A 24,710-nucleotide genomic window follows, 5' to 3' on the forward strand; every position below is an offset into this window, starting at 1 on the left:
TTTGCAACATCCTAATGAAGTAGATACCATTTTTCTCATTTTACAGATGAGGATGCTAAGCCATAAAAAGGTTAAATCTATTGCTTAAGTTCACTCAGCAAAGACAGGGTTAAGGTTATGTCTTCCTGTCCTGGGCTCCTCTCTTCTTGACAGTGGCTAAAGTTCCTAAAGTCTCAGATTCTATTTTAATGAAAACTTGCATCGGTGAAGACACAGATAAAACACAGTTCTGGAACAATGTATTCCAATGGATTTGAAAGCCATTCAATAAACATGACCATAACTTAGTAGTTTGTTTCAAAAATACATACTTGTCTATCCTCTCTCTCTCTCTCTCTCTCTCTCTCTCTCTCTCTCTCTCTCTCTCTCTGTCTCTCTCTCTCTCTCACATCTATTTTAAATGTAGACCCAGGAATCAATGTGGTCAAGCTGCTCTCAAAATTCTAATACATGGAATTAATGGCTAATGGCTCCTAATAGAAATGAATAATTATAGACCATTGCTAACCACCACTGAGAAGTATAATAGCTAATCATTTCTCTCTAATGGCTGTTTGTGTCACAAACAGAAATTTTATCTAAGAAGAGAGAGAAAACAACAACAAATGACAGGGTCTTGCTCCGTAACTCAGGCTGGGGTGCAGTGGTGCAGTCATAGCTCACTGTAACCTTGAACTCCCGGGCTCAGGCAATCCTTCCGCCTCAGCCTCCTGAGGAGTAGCTAGGTCTTCAGGTGCGGGCCACCATACCCAGATAATTAAAAAAAATTTTTTTTCTTGTAGAGACAAGGTCTCGCTATGTTGCCAAGTTTGGCCTTGAACTCCTGGCCTCAAGCAATCTTCCCACCTTGGCCTCCTGAGTTGCTGGGATTTCAGTTAACTTATCAAAACAGTAATGCTATGTCATAATATCACATAGTTTTGAAACCGTTTTCAGTGGGAAGTGCTTTGTAGATTTCTTCTCATTCATTCTTTTGCTATCTGTATTTTTAATATATTATTTATAAATTTGATCTTGTTTGTTCCTATGTCATCTCTATTGTAGGACTTACCATCATATAATCTAGTAGTAAGTTTTATGAGAGCTCTCCGTGCCCCATAGTCTCATTGAACCAACCATCTCTGTTTCTTCAGCACCTCATGGAGCTGAATGTTTCTTTTTACACTGTGAATAAAGGGACAGGTGAGTTGTTGGAATGTTCTCTGATTTTGGGGAATGGAGAATCTGGGTTCATACAGTGAAGGCTTTCGTGACAGCCTGGTCTGCTTACTGAAAGCTTCAGCTTTCTTTTAATGCTTAGTGTATAGATGTGATAAAATCACTCACAGAAACAATGATTCGTCTTCCTAGACACATCTGTAGGAGTTCCTTGAAGGACAGTGGATCTAGTCCTAAATACTTTATATTCACCCCTTCAATGAGTAATCAACTTCACTCCATCCAGAAGTTGGGTAGTTAGGAACTTGAAAACAATCTAAGAAACTTTTGCAATTTCAGGCTTAAATGATAGTGTATGTAAATGTACATGTTTCTGTCACATCATAGAAATTAAATCCAGGAGCCAAAGAAGCCTTTGTTAATTTTCCTAGAAAGAGAAGCAAGGGGAAAAAAAGGGCGAGTCTATCCAGAAAACCGCTAAGTGATCTGTGGCTAGCAGGGCATCCCACAATTATAAACATTTTTTTGAAATTATCTAGGCAGTATCATAGGTCTTATTTCATAACATCTCAAACTAATATCAAAGAGAAAAAAAAACTTCTAACTTATTCCTTTGAAATATAATTGATGGCCATAAGTCCCAGTAGGCTTACCAGATTCTTCCTTGGGAGCAGGAAGTAAATATGACAACAGACCAAGACTAAAGTGATACCAACATGGAACTTCAGTCTGTTCAAATAGGAAGATGGGCCAGGACCCATCTTAGAGTTGTGGTGTCCAGTATGGTAGCCATGAACTCCATTTGGCTCTTTAAATTAATGAAAATGATAAATAATTTAAAAACTGGTTTCTCCCTCACACCAGCCACAGTTCAAGTGGTCAGTAGCCACATGTGGCTGGTGGACATCATATTGGAGAGTGCAGATTATTATACAATGTTGTATGTACGCATTATTGTCATCGTGGAAAGTTCTTTTGGACAGGACTGGCTTACAGTCAGAGCTTTCACTGTTAGAAAGTGACCAGTCTAACTGATTAGAAAGCAAGGGGTCACTAGCAGCATTGGTTAGTTAGATTGAAGGTCAATAACTACAGTTTAGCTAGGTTTAGAAATACAAGCAGAACATGATCTGGATAATAACTCTTTGCTGCTTAATTGCTAACCAAAAACAGCCAGATAGTGACCGTTTTGGAGGTGAAGGGGATGGGAGATTAGATTGGCTTGTCTTTCATATGAAACCACTCTTGACTTTGATGTGAAGTTTAAAGATTTGATCCCTTCCTAGGTCTTCTGCATCCTATTTTAATATGCTACCACTTACTTTAGAAATTCTCATATCTGGATTTTATGATGATTGGTCTGGTGCTCCACAGACCTCACCAGAAACTTTAACGCTACGTGCCTTGGGCTTTCTTGCTGGAAAATATCCTGTGTAGAACACTCTGTCTGCCTCTAGGTAAGTGTCATTTTCGGGGAGGGAATCTCCCTGAGGACTTCTGCCATTTCAGATGAGAAAGCCCAGAATTATTCTTACAGCATAAGATGCCACATAGTGGTTATGATATGAATATAAGAAATGACTTAGAGGAGATGCGGGGGGGGTGCTGCTGCAAATATACATTCAATTGCTTGAGTAAAAATCAAGGCAAGAAAGGTGGGCTTAAATTATAGAAAGGAAAATGTGGGGTGGATTTCTGAAAAATGTGAGTGGCTTGTAGGATTTCGCCGTGGGAAGTTTTTAATCAGAAAAATTGAATACTTGATGAACATCTCTTACCTGGTCAATTGCAACTATCTTCCAAATAGACTTTTTGTCATTAGCATTCACCATGACTGCCTCTTCCCCACCTCACACACACACAACAGATATGTCCATGTTCTAATCCTTGGAAGGTGTGAATGTGACCTTATTTGGAAAAGATGTTTTGCACATATAATTAAGCTCAGAATGCTGAGATGAGATCATCCTGAATTACTTGAGTGGGCCCTAAATCCAATGGCAAGTGTCCCTGTAAGAAACAGAAGAGGAGAAGACACGCATAGGAGAAAAGGTGAGGTGAAGATGAGGGCAGAGATTGGCATAATGTGGCCATGAGCCAAAGAAACTGGCAACCTCCAGAAGCTGGAAGAGACAGACGATGGATTCTTCCCTATGTGTCCCTGCTAGCACCTTGATTTCAGACTTCTGGCTCAGATCTTTGGCTTCCAGAACTGTGAGAAAATAAATTTCTGTTGTATTAAGCCACCAAGTTCATGGGAATTTGCTATGGCAGCCATGAGGCATAAATACAGATACCCTCTGATATATCCTCCAAGTCACTTCTAGAATGACCCATTTAAGACATAAACATTATGCACAGCATAAAGTCCAAGTCTCTTAGGAGAGCTTCCAAGGACCCCTTGATCTGGCCTCTGGCTTCTTCTCTCAGTACACAGCTCTCCGGCACCCCCATAACATTTAATAAGACTAGAGTCTCTTATTACCTGGATATACTGTCTGTTTTACCCCACCGTATCTTTGAACTTGCAGTTCTCATCGTCTGTGATGTCCTTTTGAGGCTTGTTCATCCATGGTAACTTTTTTTTTTTTTTGGAGATGGAGTCTTGCTCTGTTGCCCAGGCTGGAGCGCAATGGTGTGATCTCAGCTCACTGGAACCTCTGCCTCCTGGGTTCAAGCGATTCTTTGCTTCAGCCTCCTGAGTAGCTGGGACTAGAGGCACGTGCCACCACACCCAGCTAATTTTTGTATTTTTAGTAGAGATGGGGTTTTGCCATATTGGCCAGGCTGGTCTGGAACTCCTGACCTTGTGATTTGCCCGCCTCAGCTTCCCAAAGTGCTGGGATTACAGGCGTGAGCCACCGCGCCCGGCCCATGGTAACTCTTGATCATCTTTCAGTGTCCCACTCAGTGTCCCCTGTCTGTGAAGACATGTTAGCCGACTTCCCTCTCTCACCCCCTTTTTCTCTGTGTCATCTCTACATCTTGAGTATGTTCATTATGACACAGTGCTTTCTTACATCCATCCATTCAACAACTTAGAACATTAAATTAATTTTTAGTAGGTAAGATGTTTATGTTTCAAAAATACAATGATAAAAACGGTATCCATGGAGAAGTCTTACTCCTATCCATTTTTTTTCTTTCTTTTCCCTACAGGTAATCATTAAATTTTTTTTTTTAACTTCCACAGTTTCTTTATGCAAATACATAAATTTTCATTATACAAAGGCAGTGTACTACATATATTGTTATGAACTTTACTTTTTTCCATTTTTCCATATCATTACATAAAGATCTCCCCCATTCCTTTTTTTTTTTTTTTTTTTTTTTTTTGAGACGGAGTCTCATTCTCCCTGCACTCGCTGGAGTGCGGTGACGCGATCTCAGCTCACTGCAAGCTCTGCCTCCCGGGTTCACACCATTCTCCTGCCTCAGCCTCCCGAGTAGCCTGAACTACAGGCGCCTGCCACCATGCCCAGCTAATTTTTTTTTTTTTGTATTGTTAGTAGAGACGGGGTTTCACTGTGTTAGCCAGGATGGTCTCGATCTCCTGACCTCGTGATCTGCCCGCCTTGGCCTCCCAAAGTGTTGAGATTACAGGCGTGAGCCACTGCGCCCGGCCTCCCCCATTCCTTTTTTATAGTTACATAGTATTCCATCATATACATGGTCCTAGATAATTTAACTAATTCTCAATTGTTGAACCACTGAATTGTTTTCATTATTTGTTATTATAAAAAATGCTTTAATGAAAAATTTTGTACATGCATTATTTCATATATATGAAAGCATAGGTAGATTTCCAAAAGTTGGATTTCTGGGCCAAAGGGCAAATGTTACTGTCACTGTGCTAGACATTGCCAGATTTTCCTCCATAAGCATTGAACCATTTCATATGAGACAGCCCATGGGCATACTCCGCAACACAATATTGTATATTTTGTTTTTTTGCCAATATGGTTGACAAGTGTCATAGTTTTCTATCGCTGAATAACAAATAATCATAAACTCAGCAGCTTAAAGCAACATACATTTAGTATCTCACAGTTTCTGTGGTTCAGGAACCCAAGCACAACTTAGCTGCATCCTCTTCTTAGGGTCTCAGGAGCTGCAATCAAAATGTGGGTTGTGACTGTGGTCTCACCTGAGGCTGAGAGTTCTCTTCCAAACTCATGTGATTGTTGGCAAAAGTCAGTTCCTTATGGTTGTAAGAATGAGGCCCTCAGCAATGAGAAGCTGTCTGCAGTTCCTGGGCACATGAGCCTCCCCATAGACAGTTCACATCACAGCAACTGGCTTCCACAAGGCTAGCAGGAAAGTCCCTTGCTATGGTCTGTTAAAGTGGTGGAGTCTCATACCATGTAACCTAATCACGGGAGTGTCATCCCAGCACATTTGCCAAACAACAAAACCTAGTCCAGGGGGTAACACCCTATCACTGTTGTCATATTCTATTGATTAGAAGCAAATCACAGGTCCTGGCCACACCAAGGAGAGGGGATTGTACAGGCCCTAACACCAGGGGGTGGAGGTTGGCTATCATAAGATTCTTCCCATCACTGTGAGAAAATAAAAATCCTTTCTTTTTATTATGAGTATTTTCATAGATTTAATTACCACCTGTGTTTTTTCTTAGTGAACTGTCTGTTCATATTCTTTGTTTATATTTCCATCCAACTTTTACTTTTCTTCTACATTTCTATGTGACATGAATTGCAAATATTTTCTTCCGTTTTGCACTTATATTTTTGAATGCAAAGTTTACGAACTTACCAATCTTTTCTTTTGACTTCTCATTTTTGAGTCATAGCTGTAAACGTCTCTTCCATGCTAAGTATATAAAGAAATTAAACTATGTTGTAATTTTTTTACATCTAAATCCTAAATCCCATTAGGAAGATTTATTTGAATATGGTATGATATATGAATCTAACAGTGTCATTTTTGAGAAGACTATTTGGTTGTTCCAACATTGTATATTAAAGTTCATCTTTACCACCACAGAATGAGTATCACCTTTATCATATACTAAATTCCCACATAAAGTAGATTCTATTTCTGGAATTTATCTCCTCTTCTCTAGTATATTTACATATGTCTCAATATGATATTGTTTTAATTATTGAAGTTTTGTTATGTATTCATTGGCTTCTAAGACTTCTATTCTGGAGATTTCCTCATTACTATTACTAGTTTATTTTCCACATGACCTTTAGAATTAGCTTATCTAATTCTAGAACAAAATTTCTTTTTCAGTATTCTTATTAGTACTGTTAAATTTATGAATTAGCTTAGAAAGAATTGGCATCTTTACCATATTAAGTTTTGGTGCATTTACAAACTTGGTGTCTTTGTTTTTCAGATATATACTAATTTTTCTTCCCTCATATTGTTTTTGCATATTTATTTTTATTTTTATTTTTATTTTTGAGATGGAGTCTCACTCTGTCACCCAGGCTGGAGTGCAGTGGCACGATCTTGGCTCACTGCAACCTCCGCCTCCCAGGCTCAAGTGATTCTCCTGCCTCAGCCTCCCAAGTAGCTGGGATTACAGGCACATGCCACCATATCCAGCTAATTTTTGTATTTTTAGTAGAGATGGGGTTTCACCATGTTGGCCTGGCTGGTCTTGAACTCTTGACCTCAGATGGTCCACCTGCCTCGGCCTCCCAAAGTGCTGAGATTACAGGTGTGAGCCACCATGTCCGGCCACATATTTCTTATTAGGTTTATTCTTTGGTATTTTGTGCTTTATAGATTTATTGCTTTGGCCATTATACATGACTCTTTTCCATTACATCTTCTACACGTTGTTGTTTGTATAACGTGAAAACTATTGCTTTCTATAAATTTTATATATGCATACATTCTCACTTAGAAAACATTTATTGGGTCTCTAACATATGATGGGCTTCTGTACTAGCGCTGAGCTCACAGTCACAAAATAGCCATGGTCCTTCCCCACAATGAACAAATGGCCTAGTAAAGAAGGCAGAAAGTAAACATGTAAGCAAACTAATTTATAATTACTATTTGAATAAATGCTATGAAGATAATGAGGAGTGTTCAGTCATACAGAATAATTATTTAAGTGTATCTTCTTACCCACTTAGAGTCTTCGAGGGTTTGGTCCATAACTTATTTGTCTTTGGGTCCTCAGAGCCTCGCACAATGCCCAGGAAATAAAGCCACCAAATATTTATTGAACAGAATGGAACCAAATTTGCTCTGAGCTCAGGGCCAATGTTTTAAGTCCTTTAGCCACAATGATCATGCAGTCCAATTTTTCAACCAAATTTATATTTTAAATATTGTGTTTCTATAAATATATTATTCCAGTACTGGCCTAAGTATTTGTTTGGAAAATGGCCACTAGAGTTACAGCTTTCACCTAAAGTGGCCTTCCATGTCTCTGGCCCATGAGCAGAGTGGGCTTTTAATCCTTAGCCTGAGTGTTTCAGAGACAAGTTAGCTGAAAGGGATGCTCCCTTTGTAAATTTTTGACTGAGGTGTCAAAGTTAAACTTAGGGTATTGAGGCTAGCTGGAGCTTATCTGTTCTTCCAGTCCAAGGTGTTAAGATTTACATCTTTAATAACAGTAGGAAAGCAAGAGAAGACTGTAGTGGAAAAAATTTTACTTTTATGTACAGGCTTTCATTGTTTCACTTTCCCTCTCCAAGTGTTAATAAAAGGTAAGTAAAGAATTTAGGGATTATTCTGTGAATTTTTATTTATTTTTAGCCTATGTGGCTCTGGAGCGAATTTAGATCAGCTTACAGGAATATATAAAATGCAGCCAAATTAAATACACTGGAAGAAGGTGAGAAAGAAATGGGGCACGAAACAAAGTTGGAGACATTTGATAGACTTGCTGTGAGAAGGCTCAGGTTTTGGTTCTTATCAGTTAGAAAACATATTGAGCATAAGCACAATTTATAGTTCAATTAAGATTTAAAAAAATTCCTAGTAATGGCAAAAATATATGTGGTGCTTACTCTGTCCTGGGCATCATTTTAAGCTTTTTAAATGAATTAATTTAATCCTTGCAACAACCTGATGAGATGAGTCCTAATACTATTCTGTCTTACAGGAGAAGAGCAACTATTACTAATATTGAGATAAGGGAGAAAACTATTCAGAGGATTTTCATAAAGACGATGCTGTGCAATAGAATGAGTAGCATTCTCCAGTGTTTATACTCTGGCACTGCAGTGAATCTCACATGTCTGCCTTTATATTATGTAACATAATCCTGAAACTGTCATCTCCTCACATTTGCCACACAACATAACCTAATCAAGGAGTAATATCCTATTACTGTTGTCATATTCTATTGGTTGGAAGCAAGCTGCAGGTCCCAGCCACTCTCAAGGGGAGGAGATTATACAGGGCCTAACACTAGAGGGTGGCATCTCTTGATCTAATGGCCTCATGCCAAGCTCAGAATGAGTCTACAGTGGCCAATGTGATAAACGTAGCGCTGCCAATATAACTTCATTCAGAGGTAGATTTCAGGGTACCTAGAGGAATGTGCTATTTGAATATACTTTAGTTAATTCTCTTTCTTCTTCTTCTTCTTCTTTTTTTTTTTTTTTTTGAGACAGGGTCTTTCTCACTCAGGCTGGAGTGCAGTGGTGCAGTCACGGCTCAGTGTAGCCTTGACCTTCCAGGCTCAAGCGATCCTCCTACCTCAGCCTCCCGAGTAGCTGGGACTACAGGCATGCACCACCACATCCAGCTAATTTGAAAAATTGTTTGTAGGGATGAGGTCTCACTATGTTACCCAGGGTGGTCTTGAACTCCCAAGCTCAAGTGATCCTCTTGCCTTGGCCTCCTAAAGTGCCAGGATTACAGGTGTGAGCCACCACTCCCAGGCCCTTTAGTCAATTCTTTGAAAATATTATATCTTCTAATTAAGTGACAGGTAGAAATGGAAGTGATGGCTTGGAGATGGTTTCAAACTTTGAATTAAAAATGATGAATGAGATGCTAATGAGTAGTAGGCGGTTATTGGCCTGTACTCACAACTAAGCAACCTTCCTTTTCCTGTTTGTGACCGTGTCAGATGGGTGAAATAAGGTGAATCAGTTAGGTTATGTTATGCTATGTTGTGGTAACAAATACATCTCTGAAGTGCATTGATTTTGCACCAAAAAATGCTCGTTTTCTTCTCATATAAGGCCTAGTTGTGTCTAATAGCTTTCTTTGATTTGTAGTCATGCCACTTAGAGCAAATGGTCTCCAAGGTCAATGTAGCAGAGGAAAAAAACAGCCTTGGAGAAGGCATACCCACTCAGACCTTCCTCAAATTGGAACTGGCATATTACTTCCGTTTGTGTTCCATGGAGAAGAGTTAGTCACGTGACACCACTGCTCCAATGCATGGGGTTGGGAAACCTGGAGAAGTGCATGGATATTTAGTGAGTGCTGGTCATCTGTGCTGCATAAGGACTAGGCTCTTCTTATATCTACTGGGAATTTCTCTCCTGCTACCTTTCTCTTTCTTCTTAACCCTTTAGACCTCTTGCTTTATGAAACCATATCCTTATGGTACCAGATTTCCCCTATTCAGACAATTCAGTCTTGACTAGAGGAGGCGTCTCTGAGGGTGGGTGAAGTGGCAGAAAAGTAGAAAGGGGAGGGAAAAGGAAAGAAATAGTTCCTTAGTTGTCACTTCTCATTTCTCTCCCGCTGCTGGTTTCTTTGCTGCTCCATTTCTCACGGCCCAGCTCTTGCCGATGGTTGCAAGTTGGAAGGAGATTGAAGAGCGGAGAGAATCTACTCTGCTATTTATACTAAGGGACCTCTGCTATTTTTCCTCCTTCACCTCCCTTTCCTTTCGTTTTATTTAATGAACTCCTTTTTCTTTTTTTTTTTGACAGAGTTTTTGCTCTTGTTGCTAAGGCTGGAGTGCAATGGTGCAATCTCGGCTCATTGCAACCTCCACCTCCTGGGTTCAAGCGATTCTCCTGCCTCAGCCTCCCAGATAGCTTGGATTACAGGCACCCACCACCACACCTAGCTAAGTTTTTGTATTTTTTGTACAGATGGGATTTCACCATGTTGGCCGGGCTGCTCTTCAACTCCTGTCCTCAGGTGATCCACCCGCCTTGGCCTCCCAAAGTGCTGAGATTACATGCATGAGCCACCGCACCCTAAACTCCTATTCTACAAAGACATTTTAACATGCTTTGTGAGCCAAACACAAGCAGGGTTTGGGTACTGAGAAATGCATAGTAGAAGGCATCAGTGCTCCAAGAACTCTTGGTCACTGGTCAACACCAACAACTGTAAAGTGATAGAGTGCAAAATAGAAATGTTTAAAAAGTGAACAAGTAGATGAGTGACTTAATGCTTGACTGAATAGAATGCTCAGAACTTCCACATTGTGTGAAGAGAGGAGGATTCATGAGAGTGGAGGCTGGCCTTCTCAGGGTAGCACTGAGTTGGAAGGCAAGTAAAGCCAGTCAAGGGAGATGCGGAAGTTACAAATCTCATTGCCCTTGTGTTATCTCCAGTCTCTCTCTCACCTCTTTCCTAGCCCCTTGTTTGTTTCTCTCCTACCTTACAACACAGGTCCTGATCCTACTCACAGCTCTCCCCTCACTCCTTTCCTCAGCCCTCTGGTGCTTGCACATGGGGTAGAGATAAATCATGCTTCTGCGTGGAGTTTGGGGCTTCAAATGTGTCTGTGTATCTGCCACCCCAAATTGCGACTATAATCTGATCCTATTTTTTTCATACAAATATTATGATATAGAGTGGGAAAATGGTATCATACTATGTGTTTAGTACATGCTAGATCTTTATGATGTAAAAATATATATATATTTTCTGAGATGGAGTTTCCCTCTTGTTGCCCAGGCTGGAGTGCAATGGCACAGTCTTGGCCCACTGCAGCCTCTCCCTCCTGGGTTCAAGCAATTCTCTTGCCTAAGCCTCCCAGGTAGCTGGGATTACAGGCGCCTGCCACCACACCTGGCTAATTTTTGTATTTTTAGTAGAGGCGGGGTTTCACCATGTTGGCCAGGCTGGTCTTGAACTCCTGACCTCAGGTGATCGCCCGCCTTGGCCTCCCAAAGTGCTGAGATTACAGGCATGAGCCACTGCACCTGGCCATGAAAACAATTTTATAAGGTAATCTGGAGTCTTAATTGCCTTTTAATAACATTGTTTACTTGGTAGAGATGATGTAATAGATGATTAAATCCCAGAGCATTGACCTAAATGATCTTTGAGGCTCTTTCCAACCTGTAGAGTATATGATTATGCAGGAATATGTACTCTAAATTCTGAACACATGGTTTCAAAATGAGTCTTTGGAACTTAGGGTATTATTAATAGAAGGATTGCCTGCAATGTGGCAAGTTCTCATTTCTTCAATCTTTCTTCCTTCTTAAGTTTTCACTCATAACTTATTCTGTGATGTTTCTCTACCATTTCTGCATGTTAACATAGGATTATTCCTTAATCCAAAATTGCTTTTTGATTATAAGCAATTCTGAATTTCACTAGGTTAAATAAATATGTCTCTAACAAGGTAGAATGCATTTCCCAGTGGATGACAAGGGAATATTTTATTAATTTGCTTCTAAGTCATTGAAATTACTGCATTAAAATGTTTAGCTGATTCTTTTACACTGATGAAATAAGAAATGACTAATTTTTTAAATCACTTCCCTAAATAAAGCATACCATCCCTAATGCATGTACAACTGGAATTAATCTCAAAGAGCAATCATAAGTGACATGCAAAGAGGATTATGTGATTTTCTTTCTTCTTCTTCCTTTTTTTTTTTTTTTTGAGACGGAGTCTCTCTCTGTTGCCCAGGCTGGAGTGCAGTGGCGTGATCTCAGCTCACTGCAACCTCTGCCTCCCGGGTTCAAGCAATTCTTCTGCTTTAGCCTCCCCAGTAGCTGGGACTGCAGGTGCGTGCCACCACACCCAGCTAATTTTTTGTATTTCTTTTTAGTAGAGATGGGGTTTCACCATGTTAGCCAGGAGGGTCTTGATCTTCTGACCTCGTGATCTGCCCGCCTCAGCCTCCAAAATGCTGGGATTACAGGCATGAGCCACCATGCCAGGCCGTGATTTTCTTACAGTACTTTGTCAACAGGTATATTTTCCTGAAGGCAGTTACTTTTGCATTCAATTGCTTTTGTGTCACACATTTTGATTATTAAAACAAAGACAACAACAACAGTTTGTATACCACTTGGGCATAATAGTATTGGATAGAATGAGACTTACAGAGGTCATTAACATTACCCCCTGCTTCCTTCCAGGCAATGAGAATTCATCTTGTAATTTCACCCACTCAAGGGCATGGGCTTCACAATCTCCTTTGGTAACTGATTTGAATATCTAACAACAGTTTCTGTCAGGATTTTTTTTTTCTCAAAAAGTACAAAACTGAAATGCCTCTTGTCTGTTTTTTTTTTTTTTTTTTTTTGCTTTTTCAAGCTTTAAGGAAAAAGATAAATGGTTACAATTCTTCATAAACTCTTGAGTTTATATTTGAGCATTTTATTTTATTTTATTTTATTTATTTTATTTTATTTTATATTTTATTTTATTTTATTTTTTGAGTGGAGTTTTGCTCTTTTTGCCCAGGCTGGAGTTCAATGGCATGATCTCAGCTCACTGCAACCTCCGCCTCCCAGGTTCAAGTGATTCTCCTGCCTCAGCCTCCTGAGTAGCTGGGATTACAGGCATGCACCACCACGCCCTGCTAATTTTTGTACTTTTAGTAGAGACGAGGTTTCACCATGCTGGCCAGGCTGGTCTCAAACTCCTGATCTCAGGTGATCCACCCGCCTCGGCCTCCCAAAGTGCTGGGATTATGGGCATGAGCCACTGAACCCGGCCTGAGCCCTTTATTAAACTCTTCAGACTCAGGTTGCCTTTTGTTCATTGTTTATCATTTTTCTTTAAAATGATCCTTGATCACTTCTTCAAGTTTCTTAGCCAGGGCTAAATTTATTATTACACATATTTAGGAAAGATGCTGCTCAAAGAGATGAGTGTAGACCTTTGGGAGTAGATATTTTCAAAGGAGAGTCTTGGTGAAGGAAATTTCTGAGGGACTAGGTTTTGGAAAGAGACCATTAATGGAGAATATTAATGGCTGCTACTAAAAGGAGGGTGAGTAATTGGTGCAGGGAAGAGATAAGTAAAGAAGTAAATGGACTGAAGTGGCTTAAGTTAAACAAACAAACATATTTTAAGTTCAAAGTCATTCAGAAGGGGGAGTGTATGGGATGTGGACTTTGTACAAAAATGAAAGCCATTTCGACCCTTGTGAGAAAAGAGTGTATTTAGAGGCAGAAGGCAAAATGCACACAGCTTGTGGATAAATGACCCATCTCTGGGATGAGGAAGGCACAAGTGGTGCTCCGAGAATCCCCCCAGTGAGCTGAATTTATGGTGGTGTGCAAGGCTGAGGACGTTTATTAGTAAATAACAAAGATCGTGTGCTAATGACCTGATCACTGGTCCATAATCAATCAGAGGTTGGTCTCTGTGCATAATTCTCCTGGGGGATTGTTAGAAGGAAATCATAGCTAAGGCCAGACACTGATTCACTGGGGGCCCCTTTGTCGTTCATGGGGGGCAGATATTCTATTTCTGTACATGTAGAACTTCTCTTTATTAGGGAAGCAGGAAGGAGTGACTGAAAGACGCTGTGTTTTTCTCTTGTGGTGTGGTTTCTAAATGCAGTGTATATCTGAGTAGAACCAAATTTAACTATGAATATTTGGGGGAAGGTAATGAGATGGTACATTATTCCTTTAGCAAAGGTTTTGATGAGCACAATGTATAATATAAGTATCTCCTACTTAAGTACAAAGTATATTTACAAATATGTTTGTTTATGTATAAAGACAGAATAATAGATTTATATATTATGAGTAGGAGGGTGATGTGGTTCATTTGCCAATCTATTAAGAAATATTATAAAATTACACATTCTTTCAGCCTTTTAATCTCAATATTTAATATATTTCTTGTATCTTGTACATATTATTTAATTGTTTTCATACAAAACTAAAGATGCTGTTAACTGGTTTGCATCCAGTAAGAGGCAATTTGAGGCTAAATACATTCTGCTTTCTTCATATAAAGTGAGTCTTATGTTTATTTCATCATACTTCGAATTGAGGTGGCCTATGCCTTTTGTCTTTAGTGTTGGAACTCTTGTTTTATGTTTCCTATTTAACTTATAATGTAACACATGCAATAAAATAGTATTCGAGATGCTTTGACAAACTTGGTGTTTTGATCGAGGTGGCGCTGTTGGTAGAACTGTTGGTAGAACCTGTTGGTGGGCAGGCACAATGCCACTTTATCACTGAGCAGTAGAGGCAGGAGAGTCCCTATCTGTCACATAAAAGCAGATTTAGGGGGATCAATACAGAGTGCATGAAAGTGAAGGTTAAGAGAAAGTACAATACGTAAAAGTCAGGAACTGTCAATATGCAAATCCTCAACTCTGGCAAAACCCCAGATCACCCATGATCCAGTGTGATGATAAAAATAAGCTCCTAAGTACTTTTTTTTTTTTTTAACTTTGGCATCTTGTGCAACTCATGAACTAGTAGTGTTTTCCTCCTTATTATTATTAGTGTTATTATTCAGCATTTTGCTACACCCTCCCCTTCTTTCCAACATCTAAATACCAGCAAATATGTTATGAGATGAAAATGATGACATAGCACCTCTTTTCTGTCAGGTAGAAACATCTACATTCAAGGTTATCTGAAGGTAAAATATTTACTAAGTTATTTACTCTGTCTTTCTCCCAGGAGTCAAGGCAGAATGGGGGTCTCCAACAAGAGTGGCCTGGTACATCACCATACGATGGGGCCTATGTGTGTCTCTCTTGTGTTTAGCTTCACGCAAGATGGGGCTTGGAGGTACCTGGGGGCTTATTTTTGTTGCGTGCCCACCATTGATTTTCCTTTCTAGTGTGTGTGAAATTACATTTCCCTGCAACTGAAAATCTGATTAATAAAAGTATGTCATTATCTTCCATAACAACAAATCCAGACATAGCTGCTTCCAGACGGAGGGTAGCAGCTCAGTCATGTCAGTAGGGACAGGGACTGTGTTCATCCTTCTAGTTCATCACCCTCAGTCTGCAGGCTTTTAGACCTACTTAATTGTTGCAGGATTCCTGCCGAACTGCTGCAGTATTCTCTTTTTTTTTTGAGACGGAGTCTCACTCTGTCGCCCAGGCTCTGGAGTGCAGTGGCACGATCTCGGCTCACTGCAAGCTCCGCCTCCCAGGTTCACGCCATTCTCCTGCCTCAGCCTCCCGAGTAGCTGGGACTACAGGCTCCTGCCACCACGCCCGGCTAATTTTTTTCTATTTTTAGTAGAGACGCGGTTTCACTGTGTTAGCCAGGATGGTCTCGATCTCCTGACCTCGTGATCCGCCTGCCTCAGCATTCCAAAGTGCTGGGATTACAGGCGTGAGCACCGCGCCTGGCCTGCTGCAGTATTCTTGGCATCAAGATGGTACTCCAAGATAAGGAGAAGAGGAGAGAAAGAGAAATTCTCAACTGGCTTTCTTTTCTTTCAACCGGGAAGAAACATCTCTCCCAAAAACTTCCATTTTCATTTCAATGGCTAGAAACTTGTGACATGGCAACCCCTTCTTGCAAACTGCAAAAGAGCCTGGAAAAGGAGCATGTGAACAAACACAACAACATAGCTGTGACCAGCCTAACCAGTTGCCCTGCACTTTGTGTGTACATCCCTCCAGATCTCTACCCCTGCTAGCGTGTTGGCCAGAGCATCTTTCACTGCTCCTGCCCGGTCAGCTGGGTCCCTTGTGCTGCTGCCACAGCTGCTACTTGCCCAGTGACTTGCCACAGTGGCTGCCCCATTGTGTTGTCCTAGACACAACTTGACAGCATTTCCTGAACACACTCTGCTTCCCATCTCATGTCCTGGGAGTTCCCTGATGTCACTAGGGTAAGTGATGTAAACAGACCCTCACTTCCGGCCCCCTGTGTACAATCTGGAAGTTTAGGGGAGGAGGTCAACCCATGGGGTAGACTTTGACTAACAGAAGATTGAAACTCATGGATAGCTTTGCCTTTCTGTCTGTGGCAGGACTGTCCTGGGAGCAGTGGCTGAGAGGCCATCCCCATATGCAGTAGCCAGCTACACCCATCTCCTGTATTTTCTGCATTTCTTTTCCATCCTTCCCTGCTTAATCTGTGACCTCATTCCTGCTTTTTGGAACTATACTCCCCAACAAAATAGTAGCACACAAGGCCTTGCCCCAGGCTGTGTTTAATAAAGACTCTGACTCCATTTTTGATGTTCAATTGCTGACATCCTTTAAGCCTCCCTGCTCCCTCTGTCTGTGAGCAGAAGCCCTCACGCCAGCCCCATCTGCCACAAAACACCACACCAGTCTCCTCTTCCAGCTCTCTCAAACCATTTTCAGACCTGCCTGGAGCCTTCCTATTCCCCCCAGAAAGCCTTCTCTTGTGAATAATAAACAATTTCATACCCCCTAGGTGTGCGTATGGTGTCAGCAGTCTCAACATCAGGACCAAATTCTGGGTGATGTCCATTCTGCTTCTGCAGAGTGACTGCAGCACTCTGACACCAAACATTGTTTGTTCTCTGGGACTAGGCACACTGCCACCCTGAACAGTGATCAGAGTCCACTCAGTGAGGCAGATGTGGGAAGGACAGACGCTGTCCTGGCACTAGACCACAATGTAGAGAATTGGGGCCAAGACCCAGGAGGGGACACTTAGATCTCCCACCCCCATGGTGGTTACAGAGGGCTTGGTAGGAGAGTGTGGGGAGAAATGCTCCTTTGGAGAGAGTTGACCTTAAGTCCCACTGTCAGCCAGGGGAAGTGGTGGGGGTGTTTCCCCCTCACCTGGAGCCTAGTGAGAGGTGTCTTAAGAAGATTCCTAGAGAAGGGTTTGGAAGAGAATCTTTAGGGACAACTGTTGGTTGGGGATAAACAAGGGGATGCTTCCTCCCTTTCCTCAAGTCACTAGTGAGGTTGTAATAGGGTTGTCCAGAGAAACAACCAGTAGGATATATAGACACGCGCGCGCGCGCACACACACACACACACACACACACACACCACAGAAAGAGAGATTGGCTCACACAATTGTAGAGGTTGGCAAGTCCAAAATCTGCAGGGTGGAGGGTAGGCCAAAGATCCAGGGAAGAGCTGATTTTGCAGCTCAAGTCTGAAGGCAGACTGCTGGCAGAATTCTCCCTTCTCTAGAGGAGGTCATTCTTTTTCGATTAATGCCTTTAACTAATTAGATGAGGTCTACCCACATTATGGAGGGTTAATCTGTTTTTCTTAAAGTCTGCTGATTTAAATGTTAATCTCATCTGAAAATGACTTTCAAAACAATATCTAGACTGTTTTGACCAAATATCTGGGTACTGTGGTGTAGCCAAGTTGACACATGAAATTAACCATGACATGGGGCTTTAAGGAGTTTGCTGGGAGGACTTTCTCTATGTACCTGGAATTTTGGTGGGCACACAGTGGATTATCTGACTTTTACGGGGCAAATTAAAAAGACGAGAGGCAGCTGGCCAGTCACTCTTAGGGCAGAAGTAAAAAGAAATTGCAGTTCCCTTAGGGTTGGCCTCTGTCGCTTTGTTTTAAGACAAACATTGCAGGGGTGTTTCTCATGGTCCAGCTATGGGCTATGTCAGCAAAGGCTGGCTTGGAATTCTCTTGGGGTTTTGTCCAAGAAGGCTACCTGCAGAGGCAAAAAGGTCTCAGCAGAGAGGATCTGCCTGTATCAGTGCATTCCTGGGGCTGATGAGGAATGAGGGTACATGATACCTACAGTCAGAATAAAGACATGTTCATCCAGTGTCTTAGTGTGCTTGGGCTACCCCAGCAAAATACCAAAGAACAGGCATATTGCTTGATAGGTAGAACAACAAAAATGTATTTTCTCACAGTTCTGGAGGCTAGGAGTCTGGGATCAGATGCCAGTATGATTAGGTCCTGGAGAGGGCCCTCTTTTTCACCTGAAGACAGTGGCCTTCTCACTGTGTCCGCATACAGCCTTTCTCTGGTGCATGTGTGTGGAGAGAGAGTAAGCAAGCTTTTTAGTGTCTTCATATAAAGGCACTAACTCCGTCATTAGGGCCCCACCCTCATGATCACATCCAGCCCTATATACCTCCCAAAGGTCCCATCTCCAAATACCATCACATTGAGGATTAGGGCTTCAGTATGTGAATTTTGGAAGGATACAATTCAATTCATAGCCCACAGTCTGAGCAAATACAGGGGAGACTTCTGGTGGCAGAGTCTCTCAAGAATCCACAAAAACACCAAGGAGAGAGGCTACTCTTTAAGTTAGAAATTTCCCATCTCTTCCCCTCTCTTGGACCCTCAATCTTAAAGGAGTCAGAAACTGAAGCTAGCAGAATGGAAAAAGAATGCAAAATGCTATAATAAGCCAGGAAGAGAGACTATATCCCCTCCTTTTCCAACGCCAGCTGCCTGCTAGATTCTGGCCCAAGGTGGAGTGGACTCACCTTTTAACACTAGATTGAAATTCAGACCTGTACATGGAACCAATCATTTTAGTTACTAATTTGTGACAATGTTTTACATATCCAGAAAAGTCTTGGGCTGCCTGGATTTTCTTCCTGGAGCAGGGGAAGAACTAGTCTGACTGAGTACATTTTAAGTGAGAGTAGGGGAACAAAAATAAATTTACATTTTATGAGACATATGTGTTCTACTATTAGCTGTATTTTGCCTCCCTATCCAATTTTAAAGGGGGAAAATTTAACTTGTTAAATGATTGTTTGATAGGTAGAGTAATGAAAAATCCCAAGACATGCTCTCTAGATTTGAGAATTTCACAGGTAGTTTTCTCTGGGGGAATCTTAGGAATTAAAACATTTTGGCTGGGCGTGGTGGCTCACGCCTGTAATCCCAGCACTTTGGGAGGCCGAGGCGGGTGGATCACCTGAGGTCAGGAGTTCGAGACCAGCCTGGCCAACATGGTGAAACCGCGTCTTTACTAAAAATACAAAAAATTAGCTGGGCTTGGTGGCGGGTGCCTGTAATCCCAGCTACTTGGGAGCCTGAGGCAGGAGAATCGCTTGAGCCCGGGAGGTGGAGGTTGCAGTGAGCTGAGGTCGCGCGCCATTGCACTCAAGCCTGGGCAACAAGAGCGAAACTCCGTCTCAAAAAAACAAAACAGCATTTTAAGTAGATGTAATACCTGCAGTGGCCACTTGGTGGCAGCCGTCCACGAATGCTGCTTTCGGCTCGCTGCCCTTGGGGACTCTGTGGTTTTGTGTGACAAGCATTTTTTTTTTTTTTTTTGTCCAGCCTCCTAGAAAATTGCCTGCTCCTGTTTTGGTGGAAACTCTGTTTTCCCTGACAGTGTTTGTTTTGTGGTTGAGCCCTCTTTGGCTCCGCGAGGCCAAGTTTTGTGATGCTTTCTGAATATCAGATATTTTAGTTCTATCATGTTAAAGCAGTTTGGAATCTCTGTTGGGTTTGAGGTTTTTTTTTCTTTAGTCTTCTCCTTTAACTCAAACACTGACTGACACATTGAGAATGAAAAGCTGTTGTTACTTTTTCCTGGAAAAGTTTTCTCAAATCTCAGACTTTCTAAAACTCCTGACTCACATCAGAGGGAGAATGCTGTTTTTCTGCCACCCTCAAGCCCTCATTATTCATGTTTGCACATGTCATTAGCAGGGTGAGTTTTCTCTTGATTTGTACCAGATGGTGTGATTTTTTTTTTGGGGGGGGTGGGGGAAGAGAGTAGAAACTTGTTTCTTTAAACTCCACCAAAAATTGTTTTCTAATAGGTTCATTCCTTTAATAACAAAATTTCATTTATGAGGGCACAGTAGCACCCAGAACAAATTTTGATTTTGCAAACCAATGACCTTTTTATGGTTCTTTAGAAATGGAAGTCAGCTGTTGTCCAGAAGGGTTGGTGGCATGGGGACTTAGAAAGCCATGAAGTTTGAGCGCCGCTTTCTAATGTCTGACCTGATGTTTGTGGCTGCACTTGCTGTATGTCCTCAGGCACAACAGCTATTAGCTTTGTTGTGAATTTTAGAGGGAGTCACTTGTTCAGGCAATGGATACTGCATATGTGGCACTCTTTGCAGGTCCAGCTGGGTGACATGCTGAGAACAACCAGGTGTGCTCCCCGAGCTCATAGCACATATGGTCAGGTGGATAAAACAACCTTGATTTCAAACAAAACACCCAAAGGAGTGCATGTGTAATCACACACTGAAGGAAGAGCTCCGAAGGAAAAAAAAAAAAAACATGTTGTAGAATCACAGCAGACAACCACAGACCTGCTCTAGCTGGGTGGTCAGGCCGGGTCTCCCTAAAAAGTTAGACTGAAGGTGAAATCTGAAAGATGGATTGACATTAAGCAGGGAAAGGCAGTGAGATGGGAAGGGGAGTGTTGGTGGAAAAGAATGGGCCCAGGCAGAGGACAGAGGTGGGAATGGTGTGTCTAAGGAATGCAGGTTGGAGCACAGACAGCTAGAGGAAGAGAGCGTGAAATGAGGCCGGGGAGAACAGGCTGACCCAGAGGGCTACGGCAGAGCTGGTGTATTAGTCAGGGTTCTCCAGAAGGACAGAACTAATGGGATAGAGGTATATACTAAAGGGTGTTTATTATGGAGAATTAGCTCTCAAGGTCACAAGGTGAAGTCCCATCATAGGCTGCCTGCAAGCTAAGGAGCAAAGAAGCCAGTAGTGGCTAAGTCTGAGTCACCAAACCTCAAAAGTAGGGAAGCCAACGTACAGTCTGTGGCCTAAAGCCCAAGAGCACTCAGCAAACAACTGATGTAAGTCCAAGAGTCCAAAAGCTGAGGAACCTAGAGGCTGATGTTTGAGGGTAGGAAGCATCCAGCATGGGAGAAGGACGGAGTCCAGAAGACTTAGCCGTTCTAGTCTTTCCACGTTCTTCTGCCTGCTTTTATTCTGGCCGTGCTGGCAGCTGATTAGATGGTGCCCACCCAGATTGAGGGTGAGTCTGTCTCTCTCAGTCCACTGACTCAAATGTTAATCTCCTCTGGGAACACACTCATAGACACACCCAGAACAATACTTTGCATCCTTCAATCCAATCAAGTTGACTCTCAATATTAACCATGACAGCGGAGGAGCTGTTGTTGATACAGGAGGGTGTAATGAGTTTATACATTGAAAATAGCCCTGTTGCTGTAGAAATAGCACATGGAAGTGAAGTGGTGCCCAGGATGCCACAGGAGCAAAAAGGTGGCCATGCAAATCCTGGCACAAGAGAGAGGAACTTGGATGAGAGGACAAGGGCCTGGAGACTAGTGGCCAGATTCAAGAGACAGGTGGGACCTAAAATGGACGGAACTTTGGGAGGAATTGGGTAGGAAGGGGTGGTTAAGGGAAGACAGCATCATGGGTCATTCTGGCTGGAGTAACAATGTTTGATGGTCTCTTCAGCAAGTGAGGGGACACAGACTGAAGACAGGGTCAAGGTTAGAACATGACTTGGCTGCTTAAACGCAAGGACAAAGGTTGGGATCTCCACAGATGGACACAATGGAAAGAGGGAGAAAGACAAAAGAGTTTGGAGTATTAGCAAGTCATACAAATAAAATGTTTCTAAAATGCTGCTTTACACATCATTAGGAGTTTAATTATGGTTATTTTCATTCTCTGATCTGCTTCTTCTGTTCTTTTTCTCTTCCTTCTTTCTTTTTCCTTCCTTTCTTTACAGAATTTTATCTCAGCTTGCTCAAGTTTAATTGCAGAAAGTCTCACATTTTTCTACCTTATGAATCTCTAAGATCTTTTCCAGAGTTTTTACAAAGGGTTTATACAAATTTTGGTAAAATTGAGTAACTTTTCCAAAAGACCAGATACCTGGACCAGCTGGTAATTTGTCATAATTTAAAATTATTTTTATTTTAATGCACCTTTCACTCTATGGTTTTGTATTTTAATGCATCTCTTAACTATACATGGTTGATTTATAGTGTGACTTTGGATAAGTTATGTGACCCTTCTTTGCTTTTGTTTCCTAATTTGAAGAATAGATTAGTAAAAAGATGATATAATAATCATCTTTTTAATGGGTTGTTTTGAGGACTAAATGAGTGAAAACTCATAAGGTGCATTATAAGCACTTAATAAATATTAGTGTTGTTGGTAGCTATTGTTATGGCATGGGCCAGAATGGTAGACTGGGAGACCCACAGACAGAGCTAGAACTTAAGCAATGGAGGTTAAAGCTATGCTTAAATTACCTATGTGATGAAAGCTGGTGTTTCCTGGAGTTTACGATGCAGTTTGCATTATGGACGGAAAGTTTTTCTGGGTAGTGAAAGGAGAGTAGCCAGTGGGTGTTCATGCTTGCATGGCGAGATGAAGAATACACTTGGGTTTACACCCCTTTGTGTCTTTTTGGATGGGCCTTCTCTGAGTGACATGAGGAATACTGATACAGCTCCATAATAGCAGTAATAAGACCTGATATGGAGTAGGGGGGAGCTCAGCAGTTGCCAGCCCTGAACACACTTTATCTCGTTGAACTCCATAAGAGCCCTGTTGGGTTGAGTCTATTTTTGTTTCCGTTTTAGCAATGTGAAAAACCGAGATTACATAACTTGCCAAAGTGGTGGAGCTGGAAATCCAGATATTCTAGCTTTAGAGATCAACCAATGTGAATAAACAACTTCCATTTTCCCAGTCACATTTCCACTCCTAAAGTTTTCCCTAATCTCCAAGTTTTTACACTATTAAGAAGAATGCAGTCATGCAGATTTTGTTTTCTTTACCTTGAAAGAGGAGAGTTTAACCAGCTAAGGTATGTGTTGGTTGCAACAATCCTTAAAGACACATAATCCTAAGTTTCCATATTTTTTTTTTTGAGATGGAGTCTCACTCTGTTGCCAGGCTGCAGTGCAGTGGCGCAATCTCAGCTCACTGCAATCTCCATCTCCTGGGTTCAAGAGACTCTCCTGCTCAGCCTCATGAGTAGCTGGGACTACAGGCATGCGCCAACACACCTGGCTAATTTTTGTATTTTTAGTAGAGCCGGGGTTTCACTATGTTGGACAGGATGGTCTCGATCTCTTGACCTTGTGATCCACCCGCCTCGGCCTCCCAAAGTGCTGGGATTAGAAGTGTGAGGCACCGCACTTGGCCAAGTTTCTATACTTTAATGAGTGAAGAAATGGATGAATTCAAATATATTGGTAATGACAGAGATAATAAACATAGTTGCATAATCAAACCACTGTCTCCAACGGCCAGTTGCTAGAAGTAGGAAAGACATCTAAGTGAAGGAAGACAGAGCAATCAGATTCTGACCTTCCATATTTTGCAACTTATTTTTTTATTCATTCAATATAAACTTAGTAAGCTCCTACTATGGTCCAGGCCCTGTGTTTTGCTTTTATATCAGAATCTCGGTCATCAAGATGCTTATAGCTTCATGGAGGAGAGATGTAGGAAAATAAAAAAGCCTGCTAAAGCACACGGATAACAGAGGGTTTTCACAGAAATATATAAAAAATGTTGTGGGGACAGAGATATGAACTCACCTCGTTCATATCCAGGTGAGTAAGTCAACAGTGATGAGGAATACGAGAAAGTCCCAGTAGATTTTGGCGGCAACAAATTATTAGCAATAAAAATATAAGAACTAGTCTTTGGCTCTGTAGAGTGAAGAGAAGGACAATTTTGAGGAAAAAGGAAGAAACTCCGTGAGAGTACTTAGTATTAGGTTGGTGCAAAAGTAATTGCGGTTTTGCCACTAAAATAATGGCAAAAGTAATGGCAAAACCACAGTTACATTTGCATCAACCTAATATGCTGGATTAAAGTTTGATGCTGGAATTTCCTCTTTCCTGGGTCTCTTAAGTCACAACAGATGTGGAATCATAGCAAAAACTCTGTAACCAAACTTAACGCATAAGACCAACGCACAATTACAGACAAGAGTAATCAGAGGACAGACACAAAAGGGTGGAAGTTTACATATTTCTCACTCCCGCAGGCAGTGTTCTGTTGACAATTTCTAACTCTGTTTTGATTCTGTAGTGACAATAGCTGCTTCCCCACCCCCCCCCCTTTTTTTTTTTGAGACAGGGTCTCACTGTGTCACCTAGGCTGGAGTGCCGTGGAATGATCACAGCTCACTGCAGTCTCAACCTCCTGGGCTCAAGTGATTCTCCCACCTCAGCCTCCCAAGTAGCTGGGACTACAGGCATGCACCACCATGCCCGGCTAATTTTTTTATTGTTTTGTAGAGATGGGATTTCGCCGTGTTGCCCAGGCTGGTCTAAAACTCCTGAGCTCAAGTGATCTGCCTGCCTTGGCCTCTCAAAGTGCTGGGATTACAGATGTGAGCCACCAGCCTGCTTCCCCTTTTATTTGTCCTTTTTATAACTGCAGTTGCTCCATGTGGAATGTGATGGCAAAGGGTGTCCATAAATGGGCAACTTCACAAGGGTGGTTAGGAATATAGTAACTTCAGATTAGTCAACAAGGAGG

General features: G+C 41.6%; 1 long non-coding RNA gene across 1 annotated transcript in view; it reads left to right on the forward strand.

Moving 5' to 3' along the window:
- Positions 1 to 16,486, forward strand: part of LOC107985486 (uncharacterized) — a 39,395-nt gene extending 22,909 nt beyond the window's left edge. Inside the window, exon 2 of the long non-coding RNA XR_001754998.2 lies at positions 783 to 16,486. This is a non-coding gene — a long non-coding RNA (uncharacterized LOC107985486). The remainder of the gene's footprint in view (positions 1 to 782) is intronic.
- The last annotated feature ends 8,224 nt before the right edge of the window (positions 16,487 to 24,710 follow it).

This window comes from Homo sapiens, chromosome 21 (assembly GCF_000001405.40).
Source record: "Homo sapiens chromosome 21, GRCh38.p14 Primary Assembly".
Lineage (NCBI taxonomy): Eukaryota > Metazoa > Chordata > Mammalia > Primates > Hominidae > Homo > Homo sapiens.